This window comes from Homo sapiens, chromosome 5 (genome assembly GCF_000001405.40).
Source record: "Homo sapiens chromosome 5, GRCh38.p14 Primary Assembly".
NCBI lineage: Eukaryota > Metazoa > Chordata > Mammalia > Primates > Hominidae > Homo > Homo sapiens.
In genome coordinates this window covers 142,911,381-142,931,351 of record NC_000005.10, presented here as the reverse complement: position 1 = coordinate 142,931,351, position 19,971 = coordinate 142,911,381, and the positions used below count along the sequence as shown (strand labels likewise).

The following is a 19,971-nucleotide window of genomic DNA, read 5'->3' as shown; positions in this document are numbered from 1 at the left end:
ATCACAAATGGTACTCCGCAAGAAAAAGAGACTGCGCCATAAAAACGACCTTGGGAGAAGCGGCTGAAAGCCCTCTATGCCCATTAAAGCAGGAGTTCTTCATTTAGGGTGAAAATAGATCCCAGAGTGTCCCCAAACCACCTCCTCCTCTCCCTCAAATGTATGTGGATTTTTCTGTAGAAACAATTCAAATTGTCTGTCAGATTCTCAAAGAGAACTGCAACCCTCAAAAAGTTAAGAATTGCTAGTTAAAACCATCCTCTTTAAAATTTGAGACAGCCTAAAAAGGAGGAAGAGGTCCACTGAGCAAGAACTAAAGTCCGATTCCTGTCTGAGTACACAAACACTGCTAATGATCATACAACAATATGGTATTAAAACCACACAGGCTGAGCAACACCCTGAGCAGCACAAGCCTGGGCCCCATATGCACCCAAGCCTGGTCATTCTCACCCACCCATCATCTCTGCTTCTGGCTTATAGCTATAGTTCCAATGAATATGCTAAACCTATTTGTGTTTAACATAATTTAAAAGTCACATTTGATTCTTTTCATTAACCATTCCTTGACATCCCCTTAAAAATTTAGAGCCGTGGGCATGTAAATACAGACAGGTTGAGGATACAAGGGGCATGGGGTAGGGGTGTGAATGTGTGAGGGTGTAAATGCGTGTGGGTCGGGAGAGACAGAGGGAAAGCATGCAAACGAGCAAGAGAAGGGAGTGAGAAAACAAGCAAGAGACAGAAAGGGGAGTGGGGTTGTATGTGGGTGGGAGGCGTGGGCAGCTAGATGAGTGGGCGTGTTGATGATGGTGGAACACTGATCCCAAGAGGATGGTCATTCCCATGAAGGTCACACTGGGACTGGCACCACAATACAAAGATGACTCAGAAGATGGAATAACTCTTCTCTCCATGAGCACCTTCCAGGACTCTCCCTCCTCTTCTCAGAAATTCTCATTCTCAGACCCAACCAAGTGCCCACTTCCCACCATCAGCCCATTCAGTGTGCCAGACTCAGTGGATATCTGCAGACTGCTGACAGTGGTGGCTCCACAGAACTGACCCTGTGGCTTAAGGGCACAATGAACTGATTCCACCCTTCCACCTTTCTCTAAAGACCAAGTATGACGTCTTAATAGCTTTGAAACAAAAAGCCTCTGCAGCTACTGTCTATTGCAGAACTCTCAAGTCCCCGGTTTTGGGTCTTTGAGTGTTACTGTAGGTGCTGCTCCTGTACCACCTGCTTCAGAATCAGACATTCCCTTAACATGGAGATTCCAGCCCAACCCCACTCTACTCAATCTGAACTGGGCTGTGCCTGGGAACTTGGATTTTAACCAACTCCCCAGGTGATCTTGATGCAGAGTTAAGTTTGAGGCCCACACCCTGGGCTGTCCACTCCATCCCTACTCTTTTCCTTCCTGTTCCCCCTGCCCTAGAGAGCAAAGTTACCCTCCTTTCTGCAGTGAGGTCAAGGAGCCAACATGTCTCTAGTTCGTTTCCTGCTAGTGGCTCACCAGCAAACAGTGAGATCACAAGAGCTGTCTACATACCAAGGTCTCAGGGGCTCACATATATTACATCAACTTCATGGCACACAGTGTGAGATTTCCACCCCAAGCCACAGAGGAAGTTCGACAACCTCAGAGGCTGTGAAGGGTGGGCCACTTGGCCTTGGTAACCAGGAAAGTCAACAGGATTTGTTTTCATTCCAAGAAGAAATATCAAAATACAAGTTCTTTTCCACATGTGGTCTTGTTCCCTTTTACAGGGGAAGTGGGGTAGGGGACGGATTCACATGTCTTGCATGTGAATTTCCAAGAACCAAGATAAAAAGGGTGAACTATCTTTATTCTGGAGTAAAACAATAACTTTCTTTCCATATTTACCTTCCTTATGTCCCTACTAACAACTATCCCTCAAAACAAAATAAAACAAGCAAAACCCTCAACGACCCTCCACTTTCCATGTCAGTTCCTATACAATAACATACTTTGAGACCTTCTCTTACAGGATGTCAATTTAATTCATGTTTGAAATGCATGTGGTTCTTCATAGCAAAAAATGGGCAGGGCAGGGGAGACAGAGAAGAGAGAGATTAAAAGTAGGAGGATAGGCCGGGCGCAGTGACTAACATCAATCCCAGCACTCTGGGAGGCCGAGGTGGGCGGACCATGAGGTCAAGAGATCCAGACAATCCTGGCCAACATAGTGAAACCCTGTCTCTACTAAAAAATACAAAAATTAGCTGGGCGTGGTAGCACACGCCTGTAGTCCCAGCTACTCGGGAGGCTGACGCAGGAAAATCGCTTGAACCCTGGAGGCGGAGGCTGCAGTGAGCCAAGATCATGCCACTGCACTCCAGCCCGGCGACAGAGCGAGACTCCGTCTCAAAATAAAAAAAGAAGGAGGATAATATGGAATGAGGAAGGGAACATATAAAACAATGAAAGAGAAATTGGAGTAAATATCAGAGCTCTTTTTACCTCTACAAAGAATTGTGAGCCTATTAGACCCTCTACAATAAAAGAACAGTAATAATTATAACCCAGCAGTATATGCCAGTTGCTGTGCTAAGCACTATATATAAATTAATTCACCCACTCTTCACAGCTACATCATGAGAAAAGTATATTCTTATTATTCCCCTTTAGCAGATGAGAAAACCAAGGCTCAGAGAGGTTAAGTATCTTGTCCACAATCACAGAGCTGGCAAGATAATAGAGCCAGGATGTGAACACAGGCATTCCAACCCTTAACTCTTGTGCACAATGCCATGGCAAATGTGATGGCACCGCAGCCCCCAGAGAGCTCACGTTGACCACCCAAGTCCTCTGGTGTCAAAATCAGCCATGCACTTCTGCAAACACCTTAGTGAGCTCCTGCACGGGATTAAATGAGATTGAATGATAAAGAGCTCTGTAAAAACCTAAAGTGCTTCATAAATATGAGGGCTTACAACGCTACTCTAGGCAACGAGCTAATCCAAAACAAGAATTCAATAGCGTCCAGAATAACTGGGGCTTACTTTCTATAGAAGTGGTTCTCCATGTTTTATCTGTCTTAAAATACTCAAGAGATGGAAAAGGCAATGAGTTTTAAAAAAAAAAAAAAAAACACACACACACAAAAAGTCCTAATCATAAAGAAAAAATATTGAAAAATTGGACTTCACCAAAATGAAGAACTTACACTCATCAAAAGATGAATTTAATTACTTAATTACTTTTATTTAAAAAATTAAAAGTCAAACCAGAGTGAGAGAAGATATCTGTAATATCTATCTCCTGCAAGAATCATATCCAGAATATGTAAAGAATGCCTACAAGTGAGTAAGAAAAAATGAACCACCCAATACAATAAATACTTGAATAAGCACTTCATAAAAGAGGACATCCAAATGGCCAATAAGGCTAAGAAATAGAGCCCAAACTGATTACTTATGAGGGAAATGTGATTAAAACCACAATGAGATATAACAAGTACCCTCCTGAATAGAGGGCATTAGAAGGCCACCAATAACCAATACTGGCAAAAAATGTAGAGTAACTGGGACTCTCATACATTGCTGATGGGAGAATAAGTTGATGGAACTACTTTGGCAATATCTGCTAGAACTAAACATAAACCTGCCCTATGACCTAGCAATTCTACCTCTACATATATACTCAAGAGAAATGAGTGCATATGTCCACCAAAAGACGCATTCAGGAATACCTGCAGTTTTATTTAGAATAGCCAAAAATTGCAAAAACAACAACAAATAAATATCCATTGATAAATGGATAAACTGTTGTATATTTGAACAATGGCATACCATACAACAATTTTTTTAAAAAAAGAGTCAACTACTGCTAAATGCAACAACACGAATGAATCTCAGAGACATAATGATGAGGGAAAGAGACCAGACACAAAAGATTATGTGACTGTGTGACTCCACTTCTATGATGTTCAAATACTTGCAAAACTCATCTATGGCAACAGAAGTCAGAAGAGTGATTTTTTTTTTTTTTTTGAAAAGAGATATGGGCAGTGACTGAGAAGGGGCACAAGGGTATCTCCTGGAGTGACAGAAACATTCTATATCTTCATCTGGGTGGTTACACAGTTGTGTGTGTATAACAAGTTATTAAAATACAGACTTTGGAGTCATGCATTTTACTGTGATTACACCTCAGTAAAAATCGTTTTAAATACCCAAGAGCTATGACTTCTCATCAATAACTTAGGCTCACTAGTTATCCTGATTCTAGTGCTTCCTAGATGTATAACCACGGCAGACTAGCAACTGAACTATTCTGTGCTACTCTTATTACCTATGTTTTAAAGAACAGTAGCATAGAGCAGTTCAATTACTTGTCTCCCAGCGTTACCAGGATTACACCTCAGGGCATGCTGGGAAGGTTATATGAGAAGTGTATGCGGCATTTCAAAGTGTCAGGCACACGATGAATGCTCCAAAAATTAGTTGTAATCACAGGGGCAGGTAGAGGTGGGGTGAGCAGGAACAGGATGGTAAGTATGGGGTAAGGTTAAAATTACGGCTGCAGAAGGGCAGGTGTGTATAGTTTCAAAGGGAAAAGAAACAACCCACAGGTGCTAATGACATGTGTGATTCCCACTCCCAACACACTCATACACAGCACTGAAATTCATGCCTCTACCACAAAGCACACAGGGCTGAGGGCTGAAGGGACACACCTGCACTGACATAATGGCCATTTCCTTTCTCCTCCTGAGTAACGCAACAAAGTGGCCTACCACTCCCTTTTAAAATTAACATCTGATAACTAATAAGAACAGAGAAGGGGTCTTTGGCAAATTCTAAAAAATCTGCCAAGGAGCTCCCTCCACCCGCCAGATGAGAGAAGGAGCAAATGACTTAAAAATCCTCTGTAGAGCTCAACCCTAAGAATCCACTTAAAATACAGCACTTCCTTTTCACTCTGAATATGTCCTTAGTGCTATATCTGCTTAAGAATCTGGATCTGCTTAAGAATCTGGATCTGCTTAAGAATCATGAACGAGGATCTGGAATTTTCTCTAAGCTGGCACCTCACCTCTCACACTGCAGGAGCCATGGAGAAAACAGCTCTCCATCTATTACAGGGCAAGTTGCTACCCAACACCATATCTCCTCCAACCCTGGCCCCTAAAAACAGCCCATGGAAAGCAGTATATGGTTTAGCAACACATTCAGGATCCTGGGACCACTGGCTATACCAACTCATAGCCTCCTCACCAGCCAAGAGCAAACAGAATCACAACCAGCCCCAATTCCAGGGTTACTCGACAGCTTTCCTACGCTAATCTTATTCCTGAATCTGAGTCAACAATAGTGATCTCAGTGGTTTGGCAATTTACCCACTTCCTATTGGACAAGGAAAAGCTATTACTAACTCCACCCCACTGAAACAAAAACACTCAGAATTTAACAGTACCGTTCTTTCTAAATCAACCTCCAAAGATCTAGAATTTACTCATTCATAAGACTATAAATCTTCTGTTGGCAAGAGTTCATTCCCCAGCTTCCATCCACACTACTGTATATTTAAGGGTCAAATTCAAAGTAGAAGAGCTGAGGCACCCACAGGAACACACAATCTCAAAGCCTGTGTCTGAAACCTGCCCCTTATGCTTATTTAGGAGACAAAGGGGAATGATAAGGAATGGAGCATCAGCTGCCATCCACTTGCAAGAAGAGTTTTGCAAGTGCCAGGGAAGGGAAGTGGTCCTTTGTTTCTAAAGTGCTACTGGGAAAATGAATTCCTAACAGTTCCTGGACAATGCAATGGTTCGGGTTCAGAAGAGCTTCATTTACACAAAGATATGGCCAAAGCCACATAGAATAATCTTGGAGAATGACACCTTTTCCATGTCTGTTTATGAGATTACAGACCCAAATGTCTACGGAGACTCGGTAAGTAAGAAAAATTAGGGAAACTGGATAAGAAATTCTTTAATCCAAGGAAAATAGACTTGGTCTTATGTTGCTCTTGGTTTTTTCTTTTGCAGTTTTACTTTCAGATAGAAACAAAGAACAAAGAATTATCTCCCCTCTGTGGGAAAAACAACAGTGCAAGTGCAAAGCAAAAAAGCTGTCACTCGTCTTCATGGGGGAGGTGGGCAACAGGGCATGGTGGGGACTGCGGCAGAACAGAGAGCACACACCCCACCTAAAGGAAATATCTGTCATTCAGCTCAACCGGTAGCTGGCATGCGGGAAGGCATGATCAGCAGTTAAAGATTTTTTTCAGTTTTAAACTGTTGCCTCAAACACTATTCAAGCCAAACCAAGCATGTCTGTGGACCACCAGTTTGCAACTTCTGTTGTCTGTGTCTTCCTCTGAATCTATCTGAGCTTCACCCTAGGTCATCATTACATGTTATAAAGTCATCCATCTCATGCATTAAGACCAACAATGAAGGATGCCTGTCTATATTCTTGATTCACCTTACAGTCAAACTCAGGAGAGTATCTCCAGGTCATCCACAAAGGAGGAACTTGGGCTACTTCCCTTTTTCTTCCAATACTCAAGGACACAGTGCCATCACTGGAAGGCAATGGTAATCTACTATTTGGAGACAGAACATATGAATCTGCACTACTATGCGTGCTCTGATGTAATAAACCATTGAGGTCCTTCTGCAAGACCTTTGTGCATGGAAAGAATTAATAATATGCCATGATAATCTGGGTGTGGTACAGGTGAGAGACAGAGGAAGTAAGAAACCAGAAGATGCTGCAACTGGCAGCCCCCAAACCACAGGTAGATTTACTGAGTGTTTATTATGTGCTAACCACTGTGCTAAGGACTTTACTTGTATTATCATTCATTCTTCACAATAACTGTATGAAGTAGACACTACCATTATTTCTTCTTTTAAAAGTGAAAAGACTGAGACTCACATAAATTACTTGCATAATGTCACACCACTAGTAAGTGCCAAAGCCTGCACTTGAACCCAGGTGTGCCTGAATCTAAAGCAAAGCCCATGCTTTAATGACAATGTTGTACTGCCCCCCTGTGCATGTAGCATACATGTCCTGGGATCCAGAAAGACCAGCATCTTAAGGAGAAGAAGAAAGGAAGGAAGGAGGGAGGGAGGGAAGGAGAGTTGGAAAGAGGAGGGAGGGAGGAAGCAAGGGTCAACCCTCTAAGAAGGTTTTGGAAGTAGCTTCTAATCAATTATTTAGAAAGGATCTGATCCTCTCAGCACTTTGGGATGCCGAGGCGGGTGGATCGCGAGGTCAGGAGATCGAGACCATCCTGGCTAACACGGTGAAACCCCGTCTCTACTAAAAATACAAAAAAATTAGCCAGGTGCGGTGGCAGGCGCCTGTAGTCCCAGCTACTTGGGAGGCTGAGGCAGGAGAACGGCACGAACCCGGGGGGCGGAGCTTGCAGTGAGCGGAGATTGCGCCACTGCACTCCAGCCTGGGCGACAGAGCAGGACTCCGTATCAAAAAAAAAAAAAAAAAAAAAAGGATCTGATCCTAATAAATGAATGAATCATAACCTATTAAAGCCTGCAACCTTAGTATTTTTAGAGGAATGTTCCTAAAATAATTAGGATCATAGCAATAATAATAGTCTAAAAAGTAGGTATCACCAACCACATCAGATAAGTTCTTACATTTTTATGAGAGACTGAAGTCGTAAAACATCGGGAAGCCCAAAGACATCTTTGGCATATTAAATTGCATGGCTCTTAAATGCAACAGATATTGACTGAGTTCCTATTATGTGCCAGTCATCATGCTAGGTATCAGGGACATAGAAGCAAGCAAATGTTAACACACTGCACAAGGACAAGGCATTATTCACTGATGGGATGAGTGAGACTCAAGGAGAATGCAAATACCTGTTACTACTATTGATAACAAACTATGAAAATATAGCTTCTGTTTCATGTATTTTTTTTTCATTTTTACTATTCTATCTCACAATCAACAGAAATGTACATAAGTGGAATGTACTGGTTGAACTGTTTCTTCTATCCAGAATTACATAATAGCTCATTTTTGGTTTTGATTTTAAAAAGACAAACTCATTTTATATTTAGAAATTGGTAAATAAACTGGTATATTCAACCAATAAAACTCCATATTTCACCAGGCAGACTAAAGAGTAAAAATAGGGTTGCCTCAATCACCCTCCCAATCAAGTCCATTAACCACCATACCCCATTCTTTGTTAAACCAGAATCAAACAGCAAACAGGCATGCTCTCATTTAATTAAAAGAAAAAAAAAAACTCCATGACAAGTTCAAACTACATGAATTCTAAGACTCCAAGAACTTCTCCACTAACTTATTTTACAGAACAGCCAAAAAGCAATTCAGAAACTATGGTATCGTCTCCCAACTCAAGTCATGGAAGTCAGAGTCATATAACACCCTCTGAGGAAGGAAAACTCCATTTCCTGCCTGAAATGTCATGGCATTGAGACCAGCACTCTAATCCAACCAGCAGGAAGGCAAAATAAAATATTATTTCAAACAAGGGGTGAGAAGGGGAGGGAGGGGAAGTCTGAAACCAGGAAAAATGGATTCATGTGTTGCAAAAGATAAAGGCACGTTGCACCAGGAGGGAAAAGTAGGACTGCCAGGTTCTCAGCACACACAGGACAGTGAAATCACTCATCTTTTCTGCACCATCCTAAATAAGCCATTCCTAAAGCAAAGGGCCTGGCACTTTAGTTCAAAGAGCCAGGTAAAGGGTAATGTTTAAACAGAGGCCCAACTAACTGAGCATGTTTGTTTTTGCAAGAAAGTGGGTATGAATGATTTGTGATGAAAGGGTGGGAGGAAGGAATTTCTAGAGAATGAATGAGTCATTTAGGATACTCTTCTTCCTTTAAGGAATAATACTCTCATGATTATTTTTTTCTACAGAAAACACACACACACACACACACACTCTTCTGTCAATGTATACAAGGTGTATATAGGACAGCTGATTTTCAACTGGACCTTCTAATAGTTACTAATACATACACAAAACTGCCATCTAGAGGTTGAATGTTGAAACAAAGTCTGTTACATAAGATGATCCTTTTTGGAAAACACATAATCTCAGTCACACAATTTCACAAAAACACACAAATGCATACACACACACCTCTTAGCAAGCTAGAAGAAACAATATTATTTTAATTTAAAATTAATACAGTTTCTTCTTGAGGCCATAAATTGGAAAGAGAGGGCATAACACTTTATCTTTATTTGAAGCATGTATCAACAACAGGTTATCACATACACAGTTTGAAAATGGAATCTTACCCTAGCAGGCCCTTTGCACATATAACCCGAATGCACCTGTATTTCCTCTCAGCTTATAGATAACTTGAAAACTCATGACACTACAGGAAAAGGAGCACCATTAAGACAAAAAGCAGGCTCACAGGAATATCCACCAAAGCTAAGGTTCACCATCACAACAATAAAGCCCCAGGTTTTAGGGTATAGAAAAAAATTCAACAGCCATGTTTTCAGACATAGGACTCCATCAGAGGGGAATATTAGTGTGTTCCACCTTCAGAAAAAATCCTGCAATGTAGTGATAATTCACCCCATCTTACAGATGTGGTTAAACCACTTACCCAGAGTCACACAGCTAGTAAGGAACAGATCCCAAATTCAAATTTAGGAATGCTCTTATCTTTTTTACCTGCATCATGCAGCCTGCCATACAAACATATTTGAAATGAGGGTGCTGAGGGTTCCAGTAGATTCTTCAGATCTTTCAAAAATCTTTCTGGCCTCCACTATTCTGACTTTCACCAATCTTCAGTTTTCCTGGGTCTCTTCCCTAACAGTACACAAATGCAGGTTAAGTGAGCACCTGCTAAAAGTTTAGTTTAAATAGCAACTAACTTGATTAAGCTCCTCTAGTCTCTTACACAATAGTTTACCATGGCCTCAAAGAAAATAATTAACCCATGTCAAAATTACGTCACCATAAAAAATAAAATTGAACAGCCATATGCACATATTACTGTATTAAAAGCTGCATAAAATGTTCTTCTGCCTCTGGAAGCAAATCACCTGAGACAGATATTTAGAATTGAACAGAGGTATATAAAACATACCTAATTAAACACCCAACCAACCAATACAAAGAAAAGCTTATTACTGTGCAAATGCAGGTTACCTGGGAAGAAGAAGAATAGAGTTGACAGTGGATGTGAAATGCTAGGTTGGGACTAGATCAGAGGAGAGCTACTGCCCTTTACCTATTCATGGAAAGCTTGCAAAACAAGGACTTTGGAACTGGTATGAAAGAAAATCAGATGAGGTCTGTTAAGAAAGTCCTACAGATTTGTAAACTTTATATCTCCACTGCCAGTAGTCTCTAGCATGTAGTAATGCTCAATAAAATAAGGAAGGAAGGAGGGAGGGAATGAATTCAGCGTATTCCAGTCATGCCATCGTCCCCTGTAAGAATGGAAGGGTAAAGTCCTCTTGTTTGTTACTTTCCCCCCAGTATTCTGGCCCTCCAGGTTTGCTGGAACACTCAACATCCTGGTGTTTATACCTTAGTTGCTTGAGTATATATGAGCATTCCAAACTCAAAGGTAAGCTCCATGAAGATAAGTTTATTCTTGCCTTATCCCTTATTACAACTCCAGCACTAAATATCCTTGCCATCTCTAAGAAGCTATCCTTGCTGCCCACCTCTAGAGAGTACCAATGCTGGGAAAGGGGCACTTAACACACAGCATTTTCAAATGTATGGACATTGGTGAGAGTCAGCTAACCCCAGAAAAAAGTAATCATTTCCCTTCCCCAGTGTAAACACTGCCCCTCAAGAGACTTTATTGATTCAGGGAATCAGAAAAAGTTTTATTATTTTTCACATGGTTTACTAGGCCCTCCTGGAAAACACCTGAGAGAAAATATCCACGTGTCACTTACATCTGTGAGAAATTTCTTGAAAATAAACAAATCCAGGGATGCTGGCAAATGACTAGTACCATGATTCTTTAGCCTAAACAAATATTTTCCCTATATTTGCTCATGAATTTCCTTAAGACACTGCATGACGGAGTGAATTATTCAAAGTGACAGAACACAGACATAAGCAAGTACTACCGATTCACATCCTGCTACCACTAATGGCTGCTTTGAAATCATGTCCCATTTTTTAACCCAGAAATTTTACACTAAATCCTCTCAAAGAGTTGACACATTTTGTAATGATCAATCTAGTCTTTATTCAATTAACCAATATAAATTATAAACCTTCAAATGCTTGGTGCTATGGCAAAGTAATACAAAAGCACCCAAGAATGCTGCTTCATTAAAGAATAAAAAAAGTGATTTTTATTTTATTTTACTGAGATGGAGTCTCCCTCTGTCACCCAGGCTGGAGTGTGGTGGCGCGATCTCAGCTCACTGCAACCTCCATCTCCTGGGTTCAAGCAAATTCTTCTGCCTCAGCCTCCTGAATAGCTGGAATTACAGGTGCCCACCACCATGCTCGGCTAATTTTTTTCTATATTTTTAGTAAAGACAGGGTCTTGCCATGTTGGCCAGGCTGGTCTTGAACTCCTGAGCTCAAATGATCCACTTGCCTCGGCCTCCCAAAATGCTGGGATTACAGGCATGAGTCATCACGCTAGGCCAAAAAAGGGTGATTTTTAAAAAGCTAATGAAAGCTTAGGCTATAATCATGTAAAAAAATAAAAGAAAAGAAAGGAAGAAGGTAATTTATGTGAATGGGCTGCTTTGTGAAGTGGGGTTCCTTGGCAATGGGATTGTTCAAGCAGTAGGTGTTGAGTTATCCATTTAAAGGCTGCTGGGTGCATGAGTGCTGCTTCATTGAGAAAGGCCCTCCCTATTCAAACTGCGTTCATTTCCTGGGGCTGCCGTAACAAAGTGCCACAAACTGGCTGGCTTAATCAACAGAAATTTATTGCTTCACAGGTCTAGAGGCTAAAAGTTCAAGATCAAGGGTTCCTCCTGAGGTCTGTGAGGAAGAATCTGCTCCATGCCTCTCCTCTAGCTTCTGGTGCTCTGCTGCCAACCTTTGGTGTTCATTGGCTTGTAGGTGCATCACCTCGACTTCTGCCTTCATGTTAACACGGTATCTTCTCGTGTACATGTCCATCTCTGGGTCCAAATTTCCCCTTTTTACAAGGACAATGGTAATATCGCATTAAGGCCCACCCTAATGACGTCATTTTAACTTGATTATCTCTATCAAGTAATCTCCAAATAAGGCAACATTTTCAGATACTGGGGATTAGGACTTCAGCATATGATTTTGGCAGGGACACAATTTAATCTATAACTAGTATCTGCTAGGAAATTTTTTAAAATTATCCTTTGGAGCATGTTGTGGCCATACCACACAACTACTACAAGTTACATTTATTTAAAGCCATATCATATTATTAATGCTAGAGTCTTTAAACTGAATTTCAAAAGAAATCAGAAGGAACCTTCAAAGAATCATTATATTGATTGGACTGACATGATACCTTGATCCAAGCAAGTTTTCGGTTTGAGATTGAAGAAATACAAAGAATTTCTACTAACTTTAGCTTTTTGATGTTAGGAACAATGAAATCTTTTTGAGGGAAAGCAGAGATATGAAGAGCTAACATTAGTCTGTGAAACATTTGCTCCATGTAATCCTAGGGTCCTCAGTAGTTCAGGTTTGAACATCCCCCCCACCCCAAAAACTAGTTCTGAAAAAAAGGAAGGCACTAGAGAAAAGAAATTAGAGGAGATGTGACCTCTGAAATCATGTAGAAGCCAATACAAAAGGGTGTGGACACAGAGATGAGAGTATAGGTCTACTTTTTAGATATCAAAGGTAAAACAACTTAGATATATAAGAATTAAAAGTAGATTTCTAGAAATGTATTTGGTTTTAAAAAGGATCCTCGGCCGGGCACGGTGGCTCACACCTGTAATCCCAGCACTTCGGGAGGCCGAGGCAGGCGGATCACCTGAGGTCAGGAGATTGATACCAGCCTGGCCAACATGGTGAAACCCCATCTCTACTACAAATAGAAAAATTAGCCAGACGGGGTGGTGCATGCCTGTGGTCCCAGCTACTCAGGAGGATGAGGTAGGAGAATCGCTTGAACCCGGGAGGCAGATGGTGCAGTGAGCCAAGATCACACCACTGCACTCCAGCCTGGGTGACAGAGCAAGACTCTGTCTCAAAAATAAAATAAATAAAATAAAATAAAATATAAAATAAAATAAAATGGATCCTTGAAACATAAAGTTCAAGAACCATAGATCTAAATCCCATTGGCCTGGATTAACACTTAATTTGATTTTCAGTTCATTCGTTGTTCAAAGAATGACAACAGTTTTCTGTAGGACTTATGTGTCAGGGATTTGAGGATTAACAAACTGACAGCAATGTATTGTGATACAATGAAAACAATTAGCTGACAAGTGATACTACTGCTAGGATATCTCCTACTCATGCTAGCTGTCCTGGATTAAAAAAAAAAAGAGTGTCACCTTAAAAATAAAAGGTGGAGCTAGGGACAGTGACAGTGGTGTACCTATCTTCTCAACTACTCGAGAGCTGAGGTGGGAAGATTGCTTGAGCCCAGGAGTTCAACTCCAGCCTAGGCAACATGAGGAGACCCCACCCACCTCTAAACAAATAAATAAAAGATGGAAGAAAAGGTGTACAGAAACCAAAAAACCATTCATGGAACACCTATTCAGTGCCATGTGCCTGTCACTGTGCTCTATCTGCATTGCTTCTTTTAATTTAGTCACGGGAGGACTTTCTGAAGGTCACAGAGGAGTAGATATAAGAAGAGAGGCAAATTTGCTGCTTCAGTTCATTGTACTTTATATTGTACAGTTTCATTGTAGTTTACAATGCCAAATGCAACTGACAGGGTGCCAATAGCACTTCCCAGATTTCACAGCCTGAAAACTGGACACTGCGGTGTCTCTGAAATGCAACCACCAACAGCTCTGAGCTCATCACTGGAAAATGTTTCTAAAATATCTGAAGTTTAGGCCAGGTGTGGTGGCTCACGCCTGTAATCCCAGCACTTTGAGAGGCCGAGGCAGGTGGATCACCTGAGGTCAGTAGTTCAAGACCAGCCTGGTCAACATGGCGAAACCGCATCTCTACTAAAAATACAAAATTAGCTGGGCATGGTGGTGCATGCCTGTAATCCCAGCTGCTCAGGAGGCTGAGGCAGGAGAATTGCTTGAACCCAGGAGGCAGAGGCTGCAGTGAGCTGAGATCGTGCCACTGCACTCCGGCCTGGGCAACAGAGCAAGACTCCATCTAAAAAAAAAAAAAAAAAAAAATTCCAAAGTCTTGAGGCACCAATGTGCCCTGGAACAGGCTCCTGAGAACCTCAGTTCAAATCCCACCTTAGCCCTGAGTAAACGGCCTCACCACCCTACACTGCAGATTCCTCAGCAGTATGGGAATAATGGAGGACCTACCCCCCTGGGTTGTAGTGAGGATGACACAACACAAGGATGAAAGTGTTCAGCTTATAGGAAATGCTCTGATACTACCAGTTGCCTCACTCCTCCTCCATTTTCACATCCTTTAAAAAGGCAGGGGTTTTATTGTGGTGGTTGTTTTTGCCTTTTGCCTGGTCAAGTAATCTGTCTCAGAGACCAGAAATCACCTTTCCTAGTAGTTACATTCTCCTCCTCCATACAGGTAAGCATTCAGCTCCTTAGTAGAGGAGCCTGAATTTTTTTTTGTTTTGTTTTGCTGTAGTTGCTTGTTGTGATTTTTCAAATTAGGAAAATGTTTTCATGTGTTCTGATGAAACTGTATTGTGAAACACATTGTATTTAACATACCAAGTAGTAGTAAGAATAAAGGACAACTAAAAAGCTTGAAAATATGGATTTCAGGGTCTCAGTCCCAGAAAGTCGAACTGTGTGGGTGTGGGACAAGCACCAGGAATCTGTAACTGAGTGCACGTGGTTTTCACCACAGTAAAATACGTTGATGTACGGTAATCAACTCACAATATTGACCTCCTAGGATATCACCTCCTAAAGGATACAGCTTTTGTTACAAAATAACATGATATATCAGCATTAAGTATAAAGGATAAATGTATTCAATCTTAAAAATCCACAATATCCCATATTCTAAGTCACATACTTCACACTTCAACATGTATTTGTATCTTGATAGAATAAAACATTTCTAGTCACTACATAAATGTTTGTGTATTCTCCAGTTAACATACTCCAGGAGTACCTTAAACCCTTATGCGATTAAATATAACCATCCCCTCTTTCACTTCCACATTTCCTAGGTGCTAAACTTGCATTTTGATCCTCTGCCTCTCTGGTCCAGCAGGTGGAGCTGGGGAACCTGTGGAAGGCAGGACAGCAGGGCATCTAGCAGCAATCACCTCCTCGCTAAAGGACATTGGTGAAAAAGGAAAGTACAGGAGTCTTTGAGAGAAAAGGATTCCGGGCAGAGTTCCCAGGGATGCAGCTACCCAGCGCATGAAAATGCCTTTTCCTTCTCTACCCGGACTCCCTTCTAAATATTGAGGGAAAAAAAACAGAAAGGCACTGGGGTCAAAAAAGGAGAAAGGAGGAAAATCCTGCTGTATTGTAACCTAATCTTTGGGATCTATATAGAAAACTGAGAGGAGGTGTTTCCTAGGACGGTCTACTTACCTCCTGTTCATTAAGAGGAGATTCAGGCCAGGCGTGGCGGCTCATGCCTGTAATCCCAGCACTTTGGGAGGCCAAGGTGGGTGGATCACTTGAGGTCAGGAGTTCAGGACCAGCCTAGCCAACACGGTGAAATTCCGTCTCCACTAAAAATACAAAAAATTAGCCGGACATGGTGGCGAGTGCCTGTAGTCCCAGCTACTCGGTAGGCTGAGGCAAGAGAATCACTTGAACCCGGGAGGCAGAGGTTGCAGTGAGCCGAGATCATGCTACTGCACTCCAGCCTGGGTGACAGAGCAAGACTCCATCTCAAAAAAGAAAAAAAAAAAAAAAAGAGGAGATTCAGCCCCCTCAACTGAACCATGACTGAAATCTCTCCACGCCATGCAGAGGGAACCAGGGACAGAAACTCAGGAGCAATCGACTCGCAAGCCCACTCAGTATGCTGAATGTGACACATTCGCTCTTTGCTTATGATTGGGACATGCACAGCTGTTGTGGGAGTCATAAAGGAGGGAAGGTGCTAGGAAGTGCTGGCAAGGGTGGAAATAAGATGGAGGTGCCACAGTGAGCTTTAATCGCCTAAAAAGCCACTCTCCGCAACTTCTCGGGAAACTTCTGAAGATGAAAACACAAAAATAATTCAGCTTCAGAAAGCAAATTTGGGCTTGTTTCCAATCTGACAGAGAGCTGCAACACAAAGCATGCCCTCTTCAAAGCAGCTCTGCAGCAGACGGTTATCTCTAGGAACTGTGCATTTGATGAGCATCACAGGTGGCTGTACTTCCATGCAAACAGATCTTCTGAACCTCCTTCAAGGATGCCAATAATATGAATTCCCTTCAATCACATGCTTAGAAAAGAGAAGGGAGATGCTTAAAGCACCAAGGTTTAGGTTTTGTTTAAAACCAGTAATAACAAAATTTGGTTTGGGGAAGGCTGTTTGCAATTCCCCTTTGCTACCCCAGTTCAAGCTATCCTCCGACCCCACACCCATGCTATTCTTCTTTACCTTCCCCTCTCACACCTCTACACACAGTAAAGGATATGTACCTCTCTGTGTTTAGAAGTGAAATACCAAGTCTGAGGAGCACGCAGGATAAGCTATTAGCAAAAAAGAGTAACAGCTAATACTTGTTGAGCACTTATTATCTGCCCCTCTGCCAAGCATTTTACATGCATTATTTCCTTGAATCCTTATAACCATCCTGGGAACTTCATTTTCCAGGTGAGAAAATCAAGGTTCCAAAAGATTAAGTAATTTGCTCAAAGTCACATGGCTACTAAGCAGCAAAGTCAAAATTTGAACCCAGGTTGTCTGGCTTGACAGCCAAAGATGTAATGACTAAATTGCTTAAGAGATGCAGTTAGTTTCCACGAATTTCTGATAAAGGCTAAGGGGGCACGCTGTCTCCATGGGAGGCCTAACAGCCTCCAGCAGCCCCAGCAGCCTGCAGTGCAGAGTAGACACCTGCCAGAAGAAGGCAGTGCAACCCCAGGCAGTACTCAGTCTCAGGATGCCATAGAGCCAGGGAAAGGTGGCCACAGATGAACTTCCCAGGGAGGGGTGAGTACTGGCTTGATGAAATGGTATAATGTTTTTTTAATAAAAGGAAGAGATTAAATGGCATTATACGGAGTATCATGCTGAGATTTAAGGATCTTGGTGCTAGCATTCCTGATCTTGAACAGGCAGCTCAAATAAGCTTAACACGTGGGTTTCATTGAAAAAATTAACCTGTTGCCAAGTAAAGTGTCTCAAAGAATTGGAATGTTGTCAAACTAGCTTAACACCACGAAATGGTACAACTTAATGAGAGACTCTATAAATCTCGAGGAATACAACACACGGCTCTCTCTCCAAAAAATTGTGATTTCACGAGTGGTTTGGTGTCTTTCCTGGGCACGCACACACACTGGTAGGTGAAATGTAACTAAAAGCTGTTTTTTTATTTGAGAAAAATTTCTTCCATTTCAATGCCTTTCGAATCATTATACTAACTTTTTCAGTTAAAAAAAATTCAAATAGCTGATACAATCATGCTAAATACTTTTCTTTAAAAGTCTACTACTCAATCTCCTGGAGATATAACACACATTTCTGAGCATGAAAGCACTAATATTAAAGTAAAACAAAACCAAGCCAGTGATTCAGTGCTGAACCCAAAAGATAGGGAGGTTCTAATGATTCTCGCAAATCAGCAATAGCCTGGATCCAGCACCCTGGACATAGATGAATGGATGGAGAAGGAAAGGAAGGAGGCAGGGGGAGAAGGAAAGGAAGGAGGGAGGGGGAGAAGGGGAAAAAAGCAGAAAAGGTTTGACTGGAAAGAAAAAGTAAGATATAGAAATTCAGCTCTATTTGCTCCTGAGAAAAGCATGCTAGCTACTCACCTGTCTACTGCTTCCACATCAAAGCAAAACCTCTTCTCAATGGAGTCTGTTTTCCGCCGTGTGCAGGATTTGAGGATAACTGATTCATCTTCTCCCTAGTGGGAACACACAGACTATCAAGATGAGGCCAGAATGGGAGCTCTACTCCTCCCAGGACATACATGACATGTAAACAGGAGCAATCATTTCATCTTCTCAAATCTGAGTGCTCATGACCATGGGCAGTGGAAGGGTGACTATAAACCTTTCCAGGACAAAGCCTCATGCAGCTTACATTCGTATACCATGTTAGACTTGGACCCAAACATCTTTAGTACGGGTGGATCATGATGGCACCGCATCTGTCCATGGTAGATAAACGAGTGTTGACATTGTTTTAATTTGCAGGTTTGATAAGAGTAGAAGAAGATGGTCTCCTCCTAACTCTGAGCTTCTATGATCTTGGGTTGGTCATCACTTCTCCAAAAAAATCTTCCTGGATCAGAACAAATATCCCCAGAACGTGTTCACAAAGCACCATGTACATCTCCCTCCATCACAGCACTGACCATAGCTGAAACTGCGCATTGATATAGGTGATGAATACAATAATGTCTCTCTCTCCATTAGACCACAGGACCCTGAGAACAGAGACTGGGTCAAATTTTGCTTACTTTTGTCTCCTGGGCCCAACTGGATCCTAGAAAAGAGTAGCTCCTCAATAAATACATTTTAACAACTTTACTGACATATGATTAAGGTATAAGCTGTACATGTTGAACTGTACAACTTATAGATTTTGATGTCATATACATCCATGAAACCAACACCACAACCAAGCCAGCAAACAATTCCATCATCCCCAAAAGTTTCCTTGTATCCCCTGGCAATCCATCCCTCCTCCTAGTACATCCCCAAGCAATCGCTGAATCTGCTTTCTGTAACTATTGATTAGTTTGCATAGTCTATAATTTTATATAAATGGAACTACACAGTATGTGCTCTTTTTGTCTGGCTTTTTTCACTTAACGTAATTGCTTTGCTATTCATCCACATTGTTGTGCATATCAAGGGCTTATTTCTCTTTATTGTTGAGTAGTATTCCATTGTTCAACTGAATGTGACAATTTCATCTCATAGCACTAGTTTATTGCCCAGAAACACAGAAGTTGCTGTCCCTGATTTCTTCTTACTGTCACTTAGGAATTTGTTAGGGTTTCTGTTTCTCCTGCCTCTGTCAATCTTTTTTATCTAAACTAACAGGGGAAATTAGCAAGCTTGCCCAGTTTGTTGAAATAACAGAAAGTGTGGCTACATAAGGTAAAATTTAACCACCCACTAATATCAGAAGAGCAAACAAAACACAGAAGGCCTAGGAGGAGACAGTTTATATTCACAGGCCTTATACCTATTGTCTTCCACTGAATAGCAAAGATTAATTTCTCAGACAGAACTGCTCTTTCTCTAGTCTGTAAAATATCTGAGTGCAAACACCCAAACATAAGAGATTCTGACTTTGCTGATGTCTAACTATAAATCTGATTTAATGGCTATGGACCAGCTTCCACTTTGAAAGATTACATGAGGTGTCCCAGAGAAATGGGAGGGAATAGGGATATATAAAGGATCACCAAATACATGCAGAAAGAGGAGGAAGATTAATATTCTGTTCCAAGGATGACCATACCATATCAGCAAAAATCTATAAAGATGGTCTGTTCAACTATTGATTGCTTTAAAAAGTGGGGGACGTGGATATCACTTAAACAAGTAAATGAAAAGTTATAACCATGAAAAATTCTGTTTTTAAAAAGCCAAAGTTAAGGAGATCTGACCTGGTCAGGAAGGTTAGGAAAAGCTTTCTTGAGCTGAAACTGAAAGAATTCATAGGAAATAAAATAAGGAGGAGGGAATGGAGCAGGTGGACAGGCCCT

General features: G+C 41.4%; 1 protein-coding gene across 40 annotated transcripts in view, besides 3 other annotated features; it reads right to left on the bottom strand.

The window, feature by feature from the left end:
* The window catches only part of ARHGAP26 (Rho GTPase activating protein 26), a 458,635-nt gene that overhangs the window by 297,660 nt on the left and 141,004 nt on the right, over positions 1-19,971 (bottom strand). For 39 of the 40 annotated variants that reach the window (NR_146198.2, XR_007058592.1, XR_007058593.1 and 36 more), the window contains one exon: positions 18,059-18,153. Coding sequence is in view for 37 of the 40 variants with exons in the window: in NM_015071.6 (NP_055886.1) it covers positions 18,059-18,153 (95 nt within the window). In the remaining 3 variants the exon portion in view is untranslated. Of the gene's footprint in view, positions 1-11,905; positions 12,142-18,058; positions 18,154-19,971 lie in introns of those variants that run through there. The other variant, XM_047416993.1, reaches the window with a different exon arrangement.
* Positions 13,728-14,228: an enhancer, noted in NCBI's record as "H3K27ac hESC enhancer chr5:142296689-142297189 (GRCh37/hg19 assembly coordinates)". NCBI's record gives its function as "activates a minimal SCP1, AML or CMV promoter by ChIP-STARR-seq in primed H9 embryonic stem cells {active_cell/tissue: H9 hESC(primed)}" and the evidence as "EXISTENCE:reporter gene assay evidence [ECO:0000049][PMID:30033119]".
* Positions 14,229-14,729: an enhancer, noted in NCBI's record as "H3K27ac hESC enhancer chr5:142296188-142296688 (GRCh37/hg19 assembly coordinates)". NCBI's record gives its function as "activates a minimal SCP1, AML or CMV promoter by ChIP-STARR-seq in primed H9 embryonic stem cells {active_cell/tissue: H9 hESC(primed)}" and the evidence as "EXISTENCE:reporter gene assay evidence [ECO:0000049][PMID:30033119]".
* Positions 15,170-15,219: an enhancer, noted in NCBI's record as "active region_23320". NCBI's record gives its function as "activates an Ori minimal core promoter by ATAC-STARR-seq in GM12878 lymphoblastoid cells {active_cell/tissue: GM12878}" and the evidence as "EXISTENCE:reporter gene assay evidence [ECO:0000049][PMID:35858748]".